The sequence below is a fragment of the Homo sapiens genome, chromosome 3 (genome assembly GCF_000001405.40).
Source record: "Homo sapiens chromosome 3, GRCh38.p14 Primary Assembly".
In the NCBI taxonomy this organism is placed as follows: domain Eukaryota; kingdom Metazoa; phylum Chordata; class Mammalia; order Primates; family Hominidae; genus Homo; species Homo sapiens.
This window is the reverse complement of record NC_000003.12, coordinates 141,421,283-141,440,991: the sequence shown is the minus strand read 5'-3', so window position 1 is coordinate 141,440,991 and position 19,709 is coordinate 141,421,283. Positions and strand designations below refer to the sequence as shown.

The following is a 19,709-nucleotide window of genomic DNA, read 5'->3' as shown; positions in this document are numbered from 1 at the left end:
CATGATCTCAGCTCACTGCAACTTCCGGCTCCAGGGTTCAAGCGACTCTCCTGCCTCAGCCTCCCGAGTAGCTGGGACTACAGGTGCATGCCACCACGCCCAGCTAATTTTTGTATTTTTAGTAGAGACGGGGTTTCACCATGTTGGCCAGGATGGTCTCGATCTCTTGACCTCGTGATCTGCCCGCCTCAGCCTCCCAAAGTGCTGGGATTACAGGTGTGAGCCACTGCACCCAGCCTTTTCTTTTAAAGAATGCTTACAGCAACTCACTAATTTCACTACCCAGTAATAGATCACCACATGCAGTTAAAAGTAAAGCAAAACAAACAAACAAAACACACACACAAAAAAACCCTCTGGTCTACAGAACATACTAACCAGAGATTCATCCAGTCTCTCTGTGCTATTCTGTATTAAGAGACGTCTCCAGAAAGCCTTACAGTTTGATGATACTTCTTTAACTCTCAGTGGCAATGTTTTCCTAGCAGTAAAGTATAACATTTAGCTCATGGCATTTATTTAGTTGGATGGACCAGATGGCCACACAAAGAACCTCTCTACCTTTTTGTAAAGCTGCTATTATAAGCTGTGACTATTATGTTATTTAGTGTCCTTTATACAAGGATCCATTTGATAAATTCTTTTATTGTATCCAGTCATAGGAAAAAAGTACCTTTCTACTAACAAATTCTTCAATTCAGATAATGAGAACACTATATTCACCATGTTTCTGTTTTAATTCTCAAGACAAAGAAGCTCAGAACTAACTTTTATCATCAATTGTTGTAGCTATTCTTGGCCTGGGTTTCTGGTGTGCCTATTGTTTCATTTTCTTTATTTAACATTAGTTCTTCTGCTCTTGTTTACCCTGCCTTTAACTGTAATCTTCCATGAATCTTTTCTAGAAGTATGGGGGATTATTTCTACAAATAAAACTAGAATGAAATGAAATGGAATCTTATGACTTCCTCTTTGCCCCTGAAGGGAGAAAGGGTGACCCCGGAGTGAAGGAGTCTGTCCTTCACTGGGTCACAGATCAATAGCATACTTTGCTGATGTTTCTTTTGCCTTCTTTCAAGTCTCTCGGCTCTGGGCCCCTGTAGGATCTCCTTTCTCCCCTGACTCATATATTTTTATCATGTTTGGCTTCTTGGAAGCCCACATGTTATTTTAATTCTTTATCAGCCTGACTAGATAGCTTCAGATCTGACAAAACACATGCTATATGATTCAAAAAGGTGGCTTAGGTCTATGCTGACATCATCTATTTTGTCTTTCCAGTTCAAAACTACTGCTTCTTCCAAAACATTCTGCTTCACAGCATCCTGAACCTCCCTTTAGGCTCTGCTTCCATTTGCGGAATACGGCATTTCAAATCAGGCTAATGAACACTCTAGGGTGTCCTGACTCAGATTTATAATATACAAAGCCCCAACCACTTCTGTGGGGTTCTGATTCTTCTCTCAGATTGTTCAACTAGGATGGTTAGCAAAAGGCCAACTCTTAACATGGAATAATATTGTAGTCATACTTAACAGAACAACATATACAATAAATATCATTATATATGTCATTAAAATATTGTCATAACTTTGCAAAATCCAAGCATGACATTTTTCAGCGGGGATATCTACCTTTGTGTGTCAGAAAGCCTTTAAAAATCATAGTTAATAAGTAGCACCTTGATTTGCCTTCTTGACACACCTTTTAACAACTTTATCCAGCAAATATGTTAATATGGTCAGACACAGTACTTGGGTGCTAGAGTTATACTGGAGATATGAACAGGAGGAAGGCAAGTCTCTGCTCTCAAGGAGCCCAGAGTCTAGGGGAAGAAAGAGAACTGTCAACTAATCATTGGAATCCATGATGGCAGGCCATATACTGGAGATAAGTATAAAATGTTAGAAGAGTAAGTACAATTATTTACAGAGGCCCTGGATTACTTCCATAAATAAGTAAAACAGGGGTATAGGAAGGATGCTGTAAGCAGAAGGAACACTATAGGCAAAAAAAAAAAAAAAATTAAAAATGATCAAAGTGGGTACTGTTCTCAGGGGCTAATGAGGGAGTCTGAGTGGTAGCAGGAGTAGTGTGTGCAGCCCAGTCGACAGCGTCTATGTGGGGCCAGGCACATGGCAGGCCTCAGCATGTATCTGTTGAATGAGAGAGCTTGGGAAAGAAGGGTCAGACCAGATCATAAAGGGCCCTAAAGGACTCCCTACAGTTAAATTTTATATTGCAGGGAATAGGGAACCATTGAGAGTTATAATGAAATTTGAGCTTTTTTAAAAAAAAATCACGCAGCCTGCAGTATGCTGAAAGGCTCAGAGGGAGGCAGGCTGCAGGCAGGAGACCAATAGGCCATCACAGTGGTCCAGGTAAAAAGTAGCTATCCACCCCAGACAGAGTGAGAGCCTGGGGAAGAACAGATGACTCCACTTCCCAGCTAATAAAGTGGGATGGGGTGGGCCAGGCGTGGTGGCTCATGCCTGTAATCCCAGCACTTTGGGAGGCCGAGGCAGGTGGATCACCTGAGGTTGGGAGTTCATGACCAGCCTCACCAACATGGTGAAACCCCGTCTCTTCTCAAAATACAAAATTAGCCGGGCATGGTGGCACATACCTGTAATCCCAGCTACTCGGGAGGCTGAGAGAGAAGAACTGCTTGAACCCGGGAGGCGGAGGTTGTGGTGAGCCAAGATTGCGCCATTGTACTCCAGCCTGGGCAACAAGAGCGAAACTCCGTCTCAAAAGAAGAAAAAAGAAAAAAAAAAAAGAAAGAAAGTGGGATGGGGTGTTGGAGGTGGTGATGGCATCTGAATTCAAAATTTAATTCTCTTAACAAATATTTATTGAACAATTGCTAGGCAGAAGGCATCAGCTAAGTGCTATAGAAAGACATGCGTTCAATCAGCTGGGCATAGTGGCGTGCGCCTGTAGTCCCAGCTACTCGGGAGGCTGAGGCAGAAGAATTGCTTGAACCCAGGAGGCAGAGATTGCAGTGAGCCAAGATTGCGCCACTGCACTCCAGCCTGGGCAACAGAGCGAGACTCCATCTCAAAAAAAATAAATAAATAAAAGAAAAAGAAAAAGAAAAAAGAAAGGCAAGCGTTCATCCCTCCTTTGAACGAATGCTTACTGAATACCTATTATGTGCTTTGAGACATTGGTTCCTAAACCTGGTCAGGCATCAAAATCACCTGGGAGGTATTCAGATAGTACAGCTTTACAGATTCCACCTCCCCTGCTCCTATAGAGATTCTGGTTTAGAACAGCTGGAGTGAGACCCTGGAATCCATATGTATTTTTATACCTTAATTTCTCTTGTGAATAAGTAATACATACATATAATTATCAAATTGAAAAAGCACACAAAGTAAACATTGGAAAGTCTCCTTCCCACCTTGTTCCAGAGGAGCACCTTATTTCAGGTAGTTTTTAATCAACCAGCCAGAACCGTTCTAAGGGCTGACACTAAAACTCAGTGCCATAAGAGAAACAAAAATTCTACACTCAAAGGTTTGCAGGGTGGCAGGGGAACTAAGATGTGCTCATGAAACACTGCAAAACAAAGATACCCAGGGAACATCCAGGATCAGGCATGCAGGGAAAAGGTATGGGAGTTCAACAGAGAGTAAGGGAGGCAGAAGGACGTGGTATGTACTGGATCCTGCTGCTGGAATTGAGTGCTGCAGATATGGACAAGAGGAGAAAAGGGAACTTCAGGCAGAAAGAGACAGAGTCAGAGTTTCATGCCCTCAAGAAGTTTATAATCCAGGAGTCAATGCAACTGCTTAAAACAAAGAGTCCAAATCTGCGAATGGAACTTGAAAAAAAGCAGTGAAACTTGTTGGAGAAGCAATTTAAAGTTAAGACTCTAGTATCCACCTCTCCAATCTTAACAGTGCCCGCTCCCAAAACCACCAAGTATCGTCAAAACTGTCTTTAGAGCACAGTTATCCAGCTCATTGGATGATCTCAGAAAGTGCTACGGCTAAAAGCTATTTCACAGGTCCAAAGTGCAACAAGGAAATGAGTTCTAAATCTGCAGACCAAAGGAGGCCCACTGTAAGCCATGCAGCAAATCCGGTCCCCACAGGTTTTGTTTGACCCATGTGATTTTTAAAACTATGTTTTTGAAAATCTTAGTTAACCATGTTGAAAAACTCTAACATAAAAATCAAGATAGCTGGCTGGGCGCGGTGGCTCATGCCTGTAATCCCAGCACTTTGGGAGGCCAAGGTGGGTGGATCACTTGAGGTCAGGAGTTCAAGACTAGCCTGGCCAACATGGTGAAACTCTATCTCTATTAAAAATACAAAAATTAGACAGGCATGGTGGTGAGTGCCTGTAGTCCCAGCTACTCGGGAGGCTGAGGAAGGAGAATCGCTTGAACCTGGGAGGCGGAGGTTGCAGTGAGCCGAGATCACGCCACTGCATTCCAGCCTAGGCAACAGAGCAAGACTCAGTCACACACAAAAAAAATCAATATAGCTTTTTTTGAAAAATAGGAAGACCAGGCAACACTGGGGTTGTAGCCTGCCTGGCAAAAAGGACTGGTGCCAAGTGGCTGTGTCCCCAACACACACACACTGCCTGCCCAAGGATTTATCACCAGGCAGCTTCTCTCAGTAATGTGGCCTGCCTGGCCTCTTCGGCAGGTTCAGTTTGTGTAACTGATAAGAACAGTAAGTAAAATAACATTGGACCCACAGATCTTAGACATACTTACTTGAAGGATATCCCCAGGATGAAAATTTAGACTTTAAAAGAGCTCATGTGGGAGGGGGACAGTCATTTTCACCAAAAACAGTATTCGTTGACTTTAAAGTTACTTTAAAGCAACCTCCTCCACTACATTTCTTCATAAAGAGTAACTTAAAACAGAAGTCTTAGGAGCTCCTGCCAATGGAAAGCCCCCAATAGATTTCAGAAAAAGAAATATAAGTTAGAAAGAAGATGAGGTTTAATTTACATGTAACTTTCTAAAATATTTTCTAAAAAGCAAGTTTTGTGCAATAAATTCACTGAGATGGAATAGATAAGCATAAAAAAGCTAACAAAAATATTCTAGATATGAAATTGTAGATGAGTCAATATTTTTAAAAACATAAAGTAATTTGTAATTGGATAACTGGCCATCGGACTTTAATGTCATTATTTTCCTGAGTTTGCATTTTAGCTGGAATAGCTTTTAAAATATATTTTTATTTTAGTTTTTTTTTTTTTCTGAGGCAGTCTTACTCTGTTGCCCAGGCTGGAGTGCAGTGGTGCGATCTTGGCTCACTACAACCTCCGCCTCCAGGGTTCAAGCAATTCTTCTGCCTCAGCCTCCCAAGTAGCTGGGATTACAGGTGTGTGCCACCGTGCCTGGCTAATTTTTGTATTTTTAGTAGAGACGGGGTTTCACCATGTTGGCCAGGCTCGTCTTGAACTCCTGACCTTGTAATCTGCCCACCACCTCAGCCTCCCAAAGTGCTGGGATTACAGGCGTGAGCCACCGTGCCCGGCCTAAAGTATATTTTTAAAATGCATATTACACATGTGTATATAGCCACATGTATGTGCAAATACAAGCATGAATATATAAATATGCTGACATATATTATACTTAAATACATTTTATATGCACAGATGTAGAAATAGGATGAACATATAATTCAGCATCCAAAACAGGACACTTGAGAGAGAAAGGAGGTAAGACTAATGCCAGGGAAATAGGTATACATTGGGATTATACCTTAAAAAATCAGGATGAATGGTCATCCAGCATTTTATATATAAACAAATCTCTATATAAATTATTTTACTTTTATTATCTTTTTTCTTCTTTGAGACAGGGTCTTGCTCTGCCACCCAGGCTGGAGTGCTGTCGGACAGCAGTGGTGCTGTCATGGCTCATCACAGCCTTGAACTCCTGGGTTTGAGTGATCCTTCCACCTCAGCTTTCCCCCATCCCTCAACAGTAGCTGGGACAACAGACATGTGCCACCATCCTTGGATAATTTCTAAATTTTTTATTAGAGACGGGGTCCCACTATGTTGCCCAGGCTGGTCTCAAATCCTGGGCTCAAGTGACCCTCCCACCTTGGCCTCCCAAAGTGCTTGGATTACAGGCCTGAGCCACCACAGCCAGCCTATATAAATTAAATATAAAATTATATATTATACTTATAAGGACATTTGTGTTTATTTACATAAAGTATATTGTACGAATATGTAAAGTACTTTTAAGAATTATATAAATATCTGATAAACATATTTTATAATTAGACTTTATATAAATGCCACTGGGAAATTCTAGTAAATTAGCATATTTGGAATTTTCTGTTTTTGTCTCCTGCTATGCTTCAGCCTTATATAATAAAAACACATACATATAATGTAAATAGAGGCACTTTAGATACTTTTGATGACTGAAATGAACTTTCTTCACTTGCTTTTTAGAATTTCCTAGGTTTAGAAAAAGAAAATGAATCTATGCTCATGGTCAAAGACTGAAACAGCACAGATATGCATTAAGGTAAAAAGCAGAAGTCCCCTTCTCCATCCTAGCCTCCCCACTCCCTACAACCATACTCCCCCCGCCCCCCCAGTGCACACACAGCACACACTCTCCCTCGTCATAGGTCCCTTTTCTTATAACTTTGGAAGACTTCTACATTCTGCCTGAATAAAGCCTTAGGAGAGAAACTGTTTTTCCTCTTAAGATTATCCTTCTCTCCCAGTCCCTAGTTCCCCTACCTGGCAATCCTCATTTGTTCTTGTCTCAGTTGATGTCTTATCTGCATAGCCTTGTTCCTCTGGAATTTCTAGTTTTTGGTTTCCCATCATTACAATGTACGGTATCATGCATTTGTTCACATTTATATCTTCCCTATGAGCTCCTTGAGTACAGGGACAATCTGATTCATCTTTGTACTCCCTGCACCTGTAGGCATGACAATCCGTTGTTGGTGATGTTGAGAGTGAGCAGAGGGGAACTGGCCCTAGAGAGCGGCCTTGAGAAAGTGCCTTCGAGTTCTAAGAATGTAGGATTGCTTCACAGTTCTCTCTGCAATCTCTTAAAGATTTACTAATAAAAACACACTTTTAGGAGATTATCACTTGTCAAGTTTTGGTATAGTATCAAAGAATATCCATAATTAGCTGAAAAGGCTATTAAAAAATTCCTTCCCTTTCCAACTACCTATTTGTGAGAAGCTGGATTTGCTTTATATACTTCAACTAAAACAGCATACCACGGCTGAAGGCAGGAGCAGAGATGAAAATCTAGCTGTCTTTCTATCAAGCCAGACTTTAAAATATTTGCAAACATGTAAAACAGTACTAGTCCTCTCATTATTTTTTTGTTTTAAAAAATAGTTACTTTTAATAAAATGTTATTTTATTATTCAGTTGGATTTATCACAGTCATTTTCCATCAGTTAATAAATATTAGGTAGGTGCAATTAAAAGTAGTGGCAAAAACTGCAATTACTTTTGCATCAATCTAATAGTTCTTTACATTCTCATTTAAAATGTTGAATATGGTAAATATTGACAGAAAGAACTCAGATAAACAAAAGCTCTTTGCATACCCAATGACTGTAAGAGTGTAAGGGAGTCTAGGGACCAAAAAGTTTGAGAACTGCTGTGCTAACCAAAAAAAACAAAAAAAAACAAAACAAAAGTCAAAACAATTTTAATTAAAAATCTTAATTAAATAATTTTTCTAAGAAATTATTTAAAAATTATTTTACTCAATAAAATAAATATATATAAGCCTAAAAGGACTAAAGAGACAGTGAATAAAAATGTGATGAAACACAAAGCAGAAATCCTCAGGAGACAGATGGAGGCCAAGGAATACAGAAACATAGACACACCCACAGTCATGCAGATATGCATACTCTCCATACCTGTCCTTAATTTTCCAAGTTTGAGGCAATGACTATTTCTTGAGTTTGAACATGGCTGAAAAACCAGGCGGACCAACAGTCCGGTCCACACTATACACAGGTGAAAATTGTTCTTTGAGGTTGCTACCTACAATTTGTTTATACAATCAATCTATCATTGCTTGCATCCTTGCCTTCCAAGTCTCAAAGGTTAGCTTGATCACAGTAATCTATCCTGGATATTGCTTTTAAGTATTGGTTCACTCATTCTGGGAATGAATTTGAAAATAAGGGAAACAATTCTTGGCAATAATCTGACTTTAACTACTTCCCAGTATTTCCAGCTTAATTAAATCTTCTCTCCCTTCAATTAGTTAAGGCGATCTTACTGAAATGCACAGAAGAAAACTTAAAATGATAGTTTCCATATAAACTCTAATTCTTACAATGCAAAACGAATCTTGAAAAATCTCTTTAAATTGTTAACTAATGCACCTATTATGCAGATCTTTATAGGGCTTGTTAGTAAAATCTGGTATATTTTTATTAGTAAAGCTCTAAGACATTACAGAGAGGAGAGTTAAGTAAACCTTTTCAGTCCACATTCTTAGTGAGAACTACAAGTCACTTATTCAAAGCCACTCTCCAGGGCCAGACTGAACCCCATTTTTTTTAATCTTCTAATCAGAGGAAAAGGCCAAGAGCCCTCTTGCCAGCCCTTGGCCACGCAGCTCCTAACGTACATAATAACAACAGAATCGACAGAGCAACTTTCTCCTCCATCTATGGCAAGTTGTCTTCTATAAAAAGAAACGTAGAAATAAAACCTAACTAAAAAAAGAACGCACTGTATTAGGATACTGACCTGGAATCCTGCAAAAGTCAAACCTGCAGTCCATACTGGGCCAGCACAGGGGCCATATCAAAGTGAAATCTACTGCGCAGGTCTGTTATTCCCTGCGGAAAGTTTTCCGACAAAGGATATTTTGCTTCAGTGAGCTGGCTGTACCATCCCACACACATCTTTACAGTATATTTTCTCAAAGTCATGTTGGGTGACTACGTCAGACCTCCTCACGTGACGGGGTGTTAGAAACACACGCATCAGATCTCGAAAACAGATTACAAAACAGAAGTCCTTTATGGAGTTGAGCTGTGTCTAGGAAAAGGAAAATCCTGTTGATGTTGCCTTCTAAATGTGGCCTGAAACGGGCACAGAAAAGCTACATTTATCAGATTTTACTGCACTTAAGCTATCAGATTCAAGAAGGCATCGTGTGACAGGGGAAGCTTATTTTTTAACTGAAATTCAGGCTGTTCTAAAGGCCAACATCGGGAAGCTGCTGGAGTGCACTCAGCAGAGAGGGAGGCCAGCTTGGACAACCTCACCTATTATCTGGAAAAGGTAAACATTAGGGCCCTGGACTTGCAGTTGCGTGCACATAGGATTGTGAGAACGAGTACTGTCAGATTCATGAATGATGCAATGGGCCCAGTTAAATATTTTAGGTTGCTTGTTTGGAAAGATGAAAGGGGGAAAAGGTCCTGGGTTTCTTTTTTCTTTTTGAAATGCAGCAGTGTTTCAGGGTAGCTCGTGTGCCTTGGGTTCATCTCAGGATCAAGCTTGCCTGGGCACCTGCTTGCTTAAGAAATCTGGCAAACAGGCTTAGAGAATCTCTCTGAAGCCTTTTGAGTGCCGTGTCTCTATTTCTTGTTTTACCCAAATTCCACTGACACTCAGAGTCCCCCCCAAATATATATATATATTTTTTTTTTTTTTTTTTTGAGACGAAGTCTCGCTCTTGTCCCCCAGGCTGGAGTGCAATGGCACAATCTCGACTCACTGCAATCTCCACATCCTGGGTTCAAGCGATTCTCCTGCCTCAGCCTCCGGAGTAGCTGGGATTACAGGCACCTGCCACCATGCCCGGCTAATTTTTGTATTTTTAGTAGAGACGGGGTTTCACCATGTTGGTCAGGCTGGTCTCAAGCTCCTGACCTCAGATGATCCTCCTGCCTCGGCCTCCCAAAGTGTTGGGATTACAGGTGTGAGCCACCGTGCCTGGCCCCAAAATGTATTAATAGAAGGTATTTTTAATCTGAATGCTGTGGGGAATGATGTGTCCCAGAGTTCCCCAGGACAGGGTTCCTGTTCCCTGAAAATTTTCATTTTAGGGGTGAGCTTATCAAGAATTGGTTTCAAAAGCCAACCGTCATTTCCTTGTGAACCCAAAGGGCTGGCTGATTGAATGGAAGGTGGCTCTGTACCTCTCAGTTGATTGCTACCTCTGGGGGACGGCACAGGGAAGAGCCGTTTACATTCTGGCTTCTGAAGAAGAGTGAACCTCCAGCTAATCACAAGAATGAGTTGTCCTAAAATGGACGAGGCACCAGCTGCTGCTCTGGTGTTAAATCTAAATCCGCCTCCCCCACTGCACTGCCGCTCCCCACTCCCTGCCCCTCTGCACCCTGGGTTTCTGGGTTCTCCTGCAAGACAGTGAATCACAGCTTACATTGGTACTTCCTGGATAAATCAGAAACTGGGCAGTGAAGAGTGAATGAGATGATGCGCCTGAAAAGCACCAAGTGTGGTCCATGGCACCTGGCAGGGGGTTCAAGAAATGTCAGCTGGAATTAGCTTGAGAACTGACTGCATCTGCCTAATTGGTGGCTATGGAGGAACTGCTCATGCGGCTTATCCTTCATCCAGTATGTAGGGTGATCTTTAAAAACTACAAATGAGGCCGGGCGTGGTGGCTCATGCCTGTAATCCCAGCACTCTGGGAGGCTGAGGCAGGTGGATCACCTGAGGTCAGGAGTTCAAGGCCACCCTGACCAACATGGCAAAACCCCATCTCTACTAAGTACAAAAAAAATTAGCCGGGTGTGGTAGTGCATGCCTGTAATCCCAGCTACTCGGGAGGCTGAGGCAGGAGAATCACTTGAACCCAGGAGGCAGAGGTTGCAGTGAGCCAAGATCACACCATTGCACTCCAGCCTGGGTGACAAGAGCGAAACTCTGTCTCAAAAAAACAAAACAAAACAAAACAAAAAACGAAAAAACAAACCCACAAATGAGATCAAGTCAAGCCCTGCTCAAAGCCCTTCAGCGGACTTCCCCTGATCTTAGGATAAAATCAGACCCTTCCCAGTGCCCAGCAAGGCCCTGTGCTGTCCACTCTCCAGACTCACTCGTTCCCTCCCACTGCACTCCTTGCGCTGCCTTTGCTCAGGCACACAGGCTCCCTGGGCGGACTCTACCTGCCCAGTCTCTTCTGGCCCTGTGGCCTTTGATGCACACGGTTCCGGCACTGCCCATGGCTGGCTCAGACTCGTGCTTCAGGCCCAGCTCAAATGTCGCCTCGGAGGGGCCACCCCATCTCTCTATCTGCTGCCCCTTTGGTTTGCCCTCACATCACCTTGTTTATTTCTTCATACTGCTTACCTCAACCTGCAATTATCACCCGTCGTTGCCTGCTTGTTTACTGTCCACTCTGCCCGCCAGAAAGTAAGCTCCAGGAGGAGCTGCTTCTCTAGGCTGCTCACTGTTCACTGCTGTATCTCCAGGCCGCAGCACATGGCAGGAGCACGCAGTAAATGTCTGGCGAGTAAGTGACATGACCATGCATTTGAAACACAAACCAGGCTCACCCCGACTAAAAAAAGCAACCTGCTGCTGTCTCCTGCACTCACGATCCCCAAAAAAGCAAGCTGCCACCATTCCCTGCACTCACGATCCCCCAAAAGGCAACCTGCCGCCATCCCCTGCACTCACGATCCCCCAAAAGGCAACCTGCCGCCGTCCCCCGCACTCACAATCCCCGCAAAAAGCAATATGCCTCTGTCCTCTGCACTCACCATCCCCCAAAAGGCAACCTGCCGCCTTCCCCTGTACTCACGATCCCCCTTGCCCTGCTCTGCTTTTTGACTTTTCCACGGCCCTCAACATTCCAATATACTGCATACAAAATGGACTTACTTATTGTCTGTCTGCTTGCAAAAATGTAAGCCCCATAAGAGTACCAATCTTTGATTTTCTTCACTGACATATCTTAAGCACCTGGAACAGTGCCTGACACAGAACAGGCCCTCAGTATTCATTTACAAAAGGAACAATCTATACTATAAAAAGATATATGTTTATAAATCAACATTACATGAGGATGGTCACCATAAATATTGCCAATTACAATTTTCATCTGTCTGAATTCCCCAATATTGAATAAAATTGCTTTTATCAGATAAATTTCAAGTTGCAAAGCACTTTGCATATTAATTAATTTAATCACTTCCACAATCCTGTGGAGGCCGGCACATAAAAAATGGAAATACTGGCCGGGCGCCTTGGCTCACGTCTGTAATCCCAGCACTTTGGGAGGCCGAGGCAGGAGGATCATCTGAGGTCAGGAGTTTGAGACAAGCCTGACCAACATGGTGAAACCCCGTCTCTACTAAAAATACAAAATATTAGCAGGCGCCTGTAATCCCAGCTACTCGGGAGGCTGGGACAGGAGAATCGCTTGAACCCCGGAGGTGAAGGTTGCAGTGAGCTGAGATTGTGCCACTGTACTCCAGCCTGGGCGACAACAGAGCAAAACTCCGTCTAAAAAAAAAATGCAAATACTAGTATGTACTCACAGGATTCAATGAATTAACAGTTAGTGCTCAATATGGAAGCTAGTATTATTAACATGCTCATAGTACAGATGTGGTAACTGAGCCTGGAGAAGTGACTTGCCTCACATGAATGTGTACACATACAGCAGTAATTAAGTCAGAGCAGGTGACTTGTTCTATATGGCACAAAAGGGCCCAGCAGTGAGTCCAAACTGCAGGCTTGTTATACAAGATCCCCATGGAAGAAGCTGGCAGCTGGAAAAGACCCAGAATGGGATTCAAGAGGTTGGGCAGTTGGGGGCAACCAGCCTGAGTCATATGCCAAGAAATCACAGAGAGAACAAGGAATGTGCCAGAGAGGTCTCCAAGCAGGGCAGCCGAGGATGGCAGTTAAGGCATGCAGCCCCTTGATCCCGGGTGGCAGTTGCCAGGATGATCTGAGCATTGCTGGGTGGTGGGCCTTGGGCCTGGGATCCTTCATGGCTGGCCAGGTGTACAACAGCTGTCCGGTAGGCATTTTCCAGGTGCCGCCTGACATGTAATTAATCTGTGTCTGCCCCACAGCCCAGAAAACACTGGCACAGCCAGGATTTGCTAATCTAAAGTAAATGCCTCAGGAAGATGGGTTTTCATTTGCCTCCCCTCCCCCACCACAAGGATGTAGGTTTACCTTCTTATTACTGGTCTGTGATAATGCAGTCCCCAGGGATTATGGGGCTCATGCTAGGGACCTGCCGGTCAGGGTGCAGCATGAGACTGGTGAGTGTGAAGCTTCAGGGGAGCACTGGGGGAAGAGAGTCTCCAAGGGCAGAGCTGGCTTCTGGTGTGAACCTCCTCCATGATGGAGGCAAGAGTCTCCTGGCCAATACAGAGTGGAGACTGGTCAGCAGGGCTTGTCAACACCCTGAATCCAAATCTCAGCTGCTTTACCAAGGCTTCTAAGGTCCCCTGTGATCTGACCTCCTTTCCTGCCATTCTAACCCACACTAGCCACCCTTCTGTTCCTTGAGTGTGCCTGGGGCCTTCCCAGCCCAGGGCGTTTGCACATGCTGCTTCTGCAGCCTGGAATGTCCTTCTAGCCTGGGCAGCCCACCCTCACCTCCATCCACCACCCACTTCTCTCCTCCCATCTGGTGCCTCTGTTATATATTTTTTAGCATACTTTTCCTTCATAGTACTTATTATGATTGTAATTAAAAGTTACTTGACAAGTCTGTGCCTTTACTACAGAGTAAAAATTATATGAGGGCTGAGACTGTTGACCAGTTTTCCTAGCACTCAGCCCTGCAACTGCCACATAATAATTGTTAATAAACCTTTACTGAATGAATGAAAAACAGAAAGCACCCAAAACTAAGCTTTATAGAGCCTATCATACCTGGCACTGTTACCGAGCTTTCCAGACCCAGTGTCAGGTCAACCTGAACTGCCCTGCTATTTCCCACCTATGCTAATGGGTGGTCATAAAAAAAAAAGCCAAGAAGGTTGTTCTGACATGAAAAAGGAAAAAGAACCCACCCCACACACAAATCGACATTGCTGGCCTAAAGCTGAGCTGCATAAGATAAAACAGAGCTATCCACTGCCCACAAAGCTATTACAGCCCAAACAAGTTAAAACACTGAACCACAGCTCTGGAACACTGAAAAACTGCTTACTATCACCATTTTGGCCAAAAGGAAGAAAAAGAGCAATCTTTCAAGCACTACCGACATGCTTTGTTCAAAGTCCAGGAATTTGGCCTTTGTCTTGAGTACCTGGGCTGAATTGGCAACAAATTCTTTAAAATTTAATACTAAAAAAGTTGTAAAGGTGGCGACATGGCAGTGTCGTGTGAGGCCTTGGTGCTGGGTGTTTGTAAAGGACTTAGCTTCCACGTGACATCTTCCCTTCCCACACTCTGGCAGCTTTCCACCCTGCATTCACCGGTCACTTCCTTCTGGCGTCTGCTCCCTCCCCCGGCCTCCTCTCCTCCTCTCATAAGGAGCTAATCTGGAGACGGTGCTGGGTCTGTGGCCTGCTGCTGGGTCATGAAACTGTAGATGCTCTGCATCCCAGCACTTGCCCCCCATCAGGCAATGAATAGTAGATGGAAAAGGCACGGTCGTGTGTACTTATAACGGTTGTTCTCAGAACTATGCATATCAGACTCACCTGTGGAACCACAAAAAGAATTTGAGATCAATGATATCACTGACACTGAGCCAGGGTTTGGGAGACAGGGTCTGGGCAGGTGTGCTTTTGCATCCTGCTGAAAATTACCAAGATATATAGTCCGCACGACCTGGCCTGTGACTTCTGACTACACTATGAAGGAACAGCTTACCATGTCTCCTGCTTATGCTGGAGCCCCTCTGGGCAGCCTGTCTGAGAACTGCTTTAAAGTGACATGCCCATACTCCAAACAAATGCAACAATGTCCCCATTGTGACATCATTTGACAGGAGGAAGTCACCTACATATGTCATCCAAGCTGTGTCCCAACACCTAACAAGCATATATGTGCTGTGTGCTCTGCACCGTTCTACACACTGCATTTATATCATTCCATTTAGGCCTCACAGCAATCTTTCTCATTTTACAAATGAGAAAAGTGAGGTTTAGAGAGGCTGTGGAACTCAGCCAAGATTGTTTAGCTATTGGTGGCAGAGCTGGGATTCAAACCCAGGCAGCATGACTCAAAACCACACTTTCCATTTCAGGTGCAGGAGCACCAAAACATAAAGAACTTAGCTTGTCCATGTTTTTCTTGGTTTCATTTAGCGACCAAACTATTGAAGGCTCATAGGGCATCACACTAGCCTACTGACCAGTTTACATCTGGCAAAATGTAACTGGGCCTGGAGCAGGGCTGCCACGTGTGGGGTACAGGCTATGCCCTGTGGTAGGCTGAGAGGCAGCCCAGGCTCTGCTTGGCTGGGCATGTCCCTCGGTGCAGGGCTGCAGTGCCTGCCAGAAGAAGGCCATTTCTCACTATGTACAAAGATGCTATATGGGACCACCAGGTGGCCCTGGGGTGAACATTTAAGGGAAATTCAGTATTTTCCATAAATTCTACTTTTAATTCATTTTCTTAAAAAATGTGAACTTCAAAGTAATATATGGCACTTATGAATATGACTTATTTTGATTTTGATTTTTATCCACTCCCATTTCAAGATAATATTGAATGTATACGTAGAGTTACCATATGATGGGGGCATAGAAAAGGAATGGTGGGGAGACTAAAGTTGCTGAACTGAAAGAACTGAGAGACTCGCAAAGCATTGTTACTCTTTCCATGTTATTCCATTCTTAAAACAGGGCTCTACGATAGATACTTTAGGATAAGGCACACCATGTCCAGTCTGGTACAGTGGCTAAAAGTCTGAACTTTGGTATCTGGGGGACCTGGCTCTGTCATGCTCTGGCTGTGACCTTGTGCAAATTTTAAAAACTCCTTGCACTTCAGTTTCTTCCTCTGCAAAATGGGAGCTAATAATAGAAGATACTTGGGTTAACATGAGGACTAAGTGGTACCTTTAAAGTGCTTGGTATAGTATCTGGCATAAAAATCAAGCTTCATAAACATTAGCTATTATTATTATTACTATTACCAATTAATTATTAGTCAAAAATGTCAGCAGGAGCAAGTATTAGCTAAGCCTTGGCCCCAGGCCCCAAATTAGGGAATGTGAAATTCCTCAATGGCAGGGACAAATATCCTATTTCACTGTGTGTCCAGAGTTCCCCAGACCCCCTCACAGTGCTTGATACCCCATAGGGGCTCATTAACTAATTATTCTTTCTTAATTCAGACAGCAGTTACATGTGAGCTTTGGCCACCACACACACACACACACGCACACACACACATACAGGCATTTAATTATAACTATCATTTAAATAATTTTCTTTCTTTAGCTGCATTGTTAGCATCTCTTCTAAGCAAATGGAAAAAGGAATTATTATTTTTTATTTTTATTTTTTTTACTGACAGGGTCTCACTCTGCCACCCAGGCTGGAGTGCAGTAGCTTGATCATTGCTCACTGTGGCCTGGAACTCCTGGGCTCAAGTGATCCTCCCATCTCAGATCCTGAGTAGTTAGGATCACAGGTGCCCGCTAACATGCCCAGCTAATTTTTTTTATTTCTTTGTAGAGTCAGGGTCTTGCCATGTTGCCTAGACTGGTCTTGAACTCCTGGGCGTAAGTGATCCTCTGGCTTTGGCCTCCCAAAGTGCTGGGATTACAGGTGTGAGCCACCACACCAAGCTGGCAGTAACTATTTAAATAAAAAGTCTTTCAAGTTCACTGTTTATTACCTGTTCCAGTAAAAAGCTTGGTAGAAAGGAAGGTGTTTAAGATAAATACTTAGATCATCAATAAATTTCCATTATGTGGACTTATCCTCTTAAATCAGAAGGTCACTCAAATTTGGGTATAAATTGATGAATAAAAACAAAGCTAGGGTTTTATCTGTGTATTGTCTGTTTTGGATAGTGACATTCTTTCACCTTCCTAAAGAAGCCTCTCCTGCACTGGGCCTCATTACCTCTCCGATCTGTTTACAGACTTGACAAATCACATCTGCTCCTTTCTCTTGATGCAAAGGGGATTTTTTAATAACATATCAGTTTGGTTACAATTTATTTTAGAGAATACTTTGGTGTTTTGGGTTTTTGATTTTAGAATCTTTTTCATTTAAGTCTCAGTTTAGTGGATTCATTAGTTTGTATTTTGTTCAGTAAAAAATAATTAAAAATTTGGGTTCACTTTGGGATTTGGCATGTTTATTGTGCTTTATTTTAGATTTTGGTTCAAGCTTCCCTTGAAGTCCTTGATTAAATTACCGGGAACTGTCAAATGTAGTTGATAGTTCCAAGCTTTCCTTTCCTCTTCTGTGGGGCATCCTTTTTCTTCCCGTATAGTGAGTTATCTTTGTCTTCAGAGGTAGAGCACTGGTTACCCACTCCTGGGTTTAAATTACAGTTCCGCTAACTTGCTGGCTGTATGCACATGTACAAGTTAATTAGCATCTCTAGACCTGGTTTTTAAAAAAACTATAAAGTGGACACAGCAGTGTGACCTCATTCTTATAAGGATTAAATGAGATAATACAGATAAAATGTAGTATCTCATTCTATTGCTTTTCACTCTCGTAATCTTCCATGAAAATTCCAGAAAACAAACAAACAAAAACCTATAACTACAGCTTTTTTTCTCCAGTCCATCTCATTATGATACTAGCAACCAATTAAATGCTCGACAGTTGAAAGGTATTGGAAGCAGGGTCAGTTTGTAAGTGGAGATTTCCCTAGTGCTGAAGTGGAGAGTTGAGTGGCCTGGAGAGATTCAGGCTTTAAGAGCTTCCTCTAAGTCCTGGCAAGATCAGCTCTGCAGGCCGTATCGTCAGGAGCTGAAGGGCTCAGGCCAGGCTGACCCCAAAAGAAGGGAAGCCAGGGAAAAAGTGCTTGTGGAAGGCACATGCAAAACCAAATTTTTAACAAAATACGGGATTATAGGTAATACAGTAAGAGTTCATATATTAAGACTTTGGGAGAATATGTTAATATTTTTGGTACAGTGAAAAAAACCTATTTTTTGATACTTTCAAAGAATTATATAAAAAATTATTTTTATAATACTTTGAAAGAATAGATACATGCATCACGATGCAATATTGTGATAAATACAGTCAATAACTGTGTGTTAACAGACACAAAATTAAGTGACTATATTGTTTTGGGGAGCCCTGCATGCCCATTAAGGATAAGGCACCCGCACAGCCCCACTGTGAAGAATAAACAGAGAAGAGGTTAGGGGTTCAAACAACCAGAGGGGAGCTTCTACCCCTTGAGTGGCTTCTATAGGCCTAAACGTTGCCCCTTCCCGTCCAAGTAAAGAGATTGAGCAAATCTGCCCTCCGAGCATCACTTTACCCTGAATTAGATGATTATTCAGTTTCTTCACACATAGAAACATCAGGGCACCCAGCTTCACCAGAGCATTAGGAGACTAGGCTAAGAAGGCCAAAGAATTTCAGCATAGGAGCACTCTGTTCCCTTCACAGCTTCATCCTGGTCCATCCTTGCCTTGGTGGCGAGGGGCCTTTTAAACGCAGTAAGGTGACTTATGCTCTGAGAGGCAATAAGTGCCAGGCAAGGAGGGGAGGCAGGGTACAGGGGTGTCCTGGCCCGAGAGGTGGGGCAGGATGCAGGAGGAGAAAGGCCAGAGAGAAAGGGGCATGGGGCTCCCCCTACCCAGGAGGCCTCTGCTGTCCCCCTGAGTGAACGGTAGCCCAGTACTGCAGCATACTCCTGGAAAGGCTGGGCTCTTTCTGCATTGCTGAGCCTGCCCATTCTGCTTTCAGGTGTCATGGGCTTAGTAAGGAGGCTAGAGTCATAAAAGTGAATGCCCCAAGGCAGTTCCTAGCTCTGAGGGCAGGCAGTCCCTCTTAAAAACAGGATTCCTTGGGCAGAGCCCTTCCCCAGCGGCAGCTTTTTCAGGGTTGTGTTTTGGGGTTCCTTTAGATTTGATGACCACAGCCCATCCCCAGTTCACAGTGCTGTGTCCACAAGATGGTGCTGAGACCACTCAAGGAAATGCTCCTGGGTCCCAGGTAGCCAGTCATCCAGCCCCAAGACCTTTCTCAAAATGGGCAGATGAGTAAGCATCACTTCACTATGACCAGAGCTTGGGATGTTTTAGATAACAAAAAGCACAGAGGGCATGATGCTTAGTGGAACACGCACTCTGACTCATTCTTATTTGCCATGAATGGATTTTAGAGATTCTTCAGATGGGGAGTGGGGTGAGGGGCTGAGGACGGCTCCAGCCAGTGTGTGAATCTCCTTGTTAGAGAAGTCCCCACCAGGGAGGGAGCAACTGAGGGGCCCTCAACTGTAGCCTTTGCCATACGACAGCCCTTTGAATGTTTACCCTTTCCTGGGCTATACATCTCCAATTTCTTCAGCTACTCCCTTATATCAACAAAAACAAAACAAAACAAAACAAAAAAACCCAAAAAACTCTACAGAAAAGCCTAAGATCTCATAGTGTGACCAAAAGAAGTTTCTAGACTCCCCGGTGGGTGTGGTAGCTCACACCTGTAATCCTAGCACTTTGGGAGGCTGAGGCGGGAAGACTGTTTAAGGCCAAGAGTTCAAGACCAACCTGGCCAACATAGCAAGACCCAGTCTTAGTTAAAAACAGAAAAAAAAAAAAAAAA

General features: G+C 43.3%; 1 protein-coding gene across 116 annotated transcripts in view; it reads right to left on the bottom strand.

Moving 5' to 3' along the window:
* The window catches only part of ZBTB38 (zinc finger and BTB domain containing 38), a 125,607-nt gene that overhangs the window by 8,801 nt on the left and 97,097 nt on the right, over positions 1–19,709 (bottom strand). For 22 of the 116 annotated variants that reach the window (NM_001387941.1, NM_001387948.1, NM_001376124.1 and 19 more), the window contains one exon: positions 2,627–2,724. The exons of 40 other annotated variants lie outside the window; for them this stretch is intronic. Coding sequence is in view for 7 of the 76 variants with exons in the window: in XM_047447843.1 (XP_047303799.1) it covers positions 379–501 (123 nt within the window). In the remaining 69 variants the exon portion in view is untranslated. Of the gene's footprint in view, positions 1–378; positions 2,750–3,406; positions 3,565–4,735; positions 4,906–8,748; positions 8,841–11,328; positions 11,485–13,170; positions 13,359–14,654; positions 14,866–19,709 lie in introns of those variants that run through there. 54 more of the 116 variants (NM_001387947.1, NM_001376123.1, NM_001387945.1 and 51 more) reach the window with 19 other exon arrangements.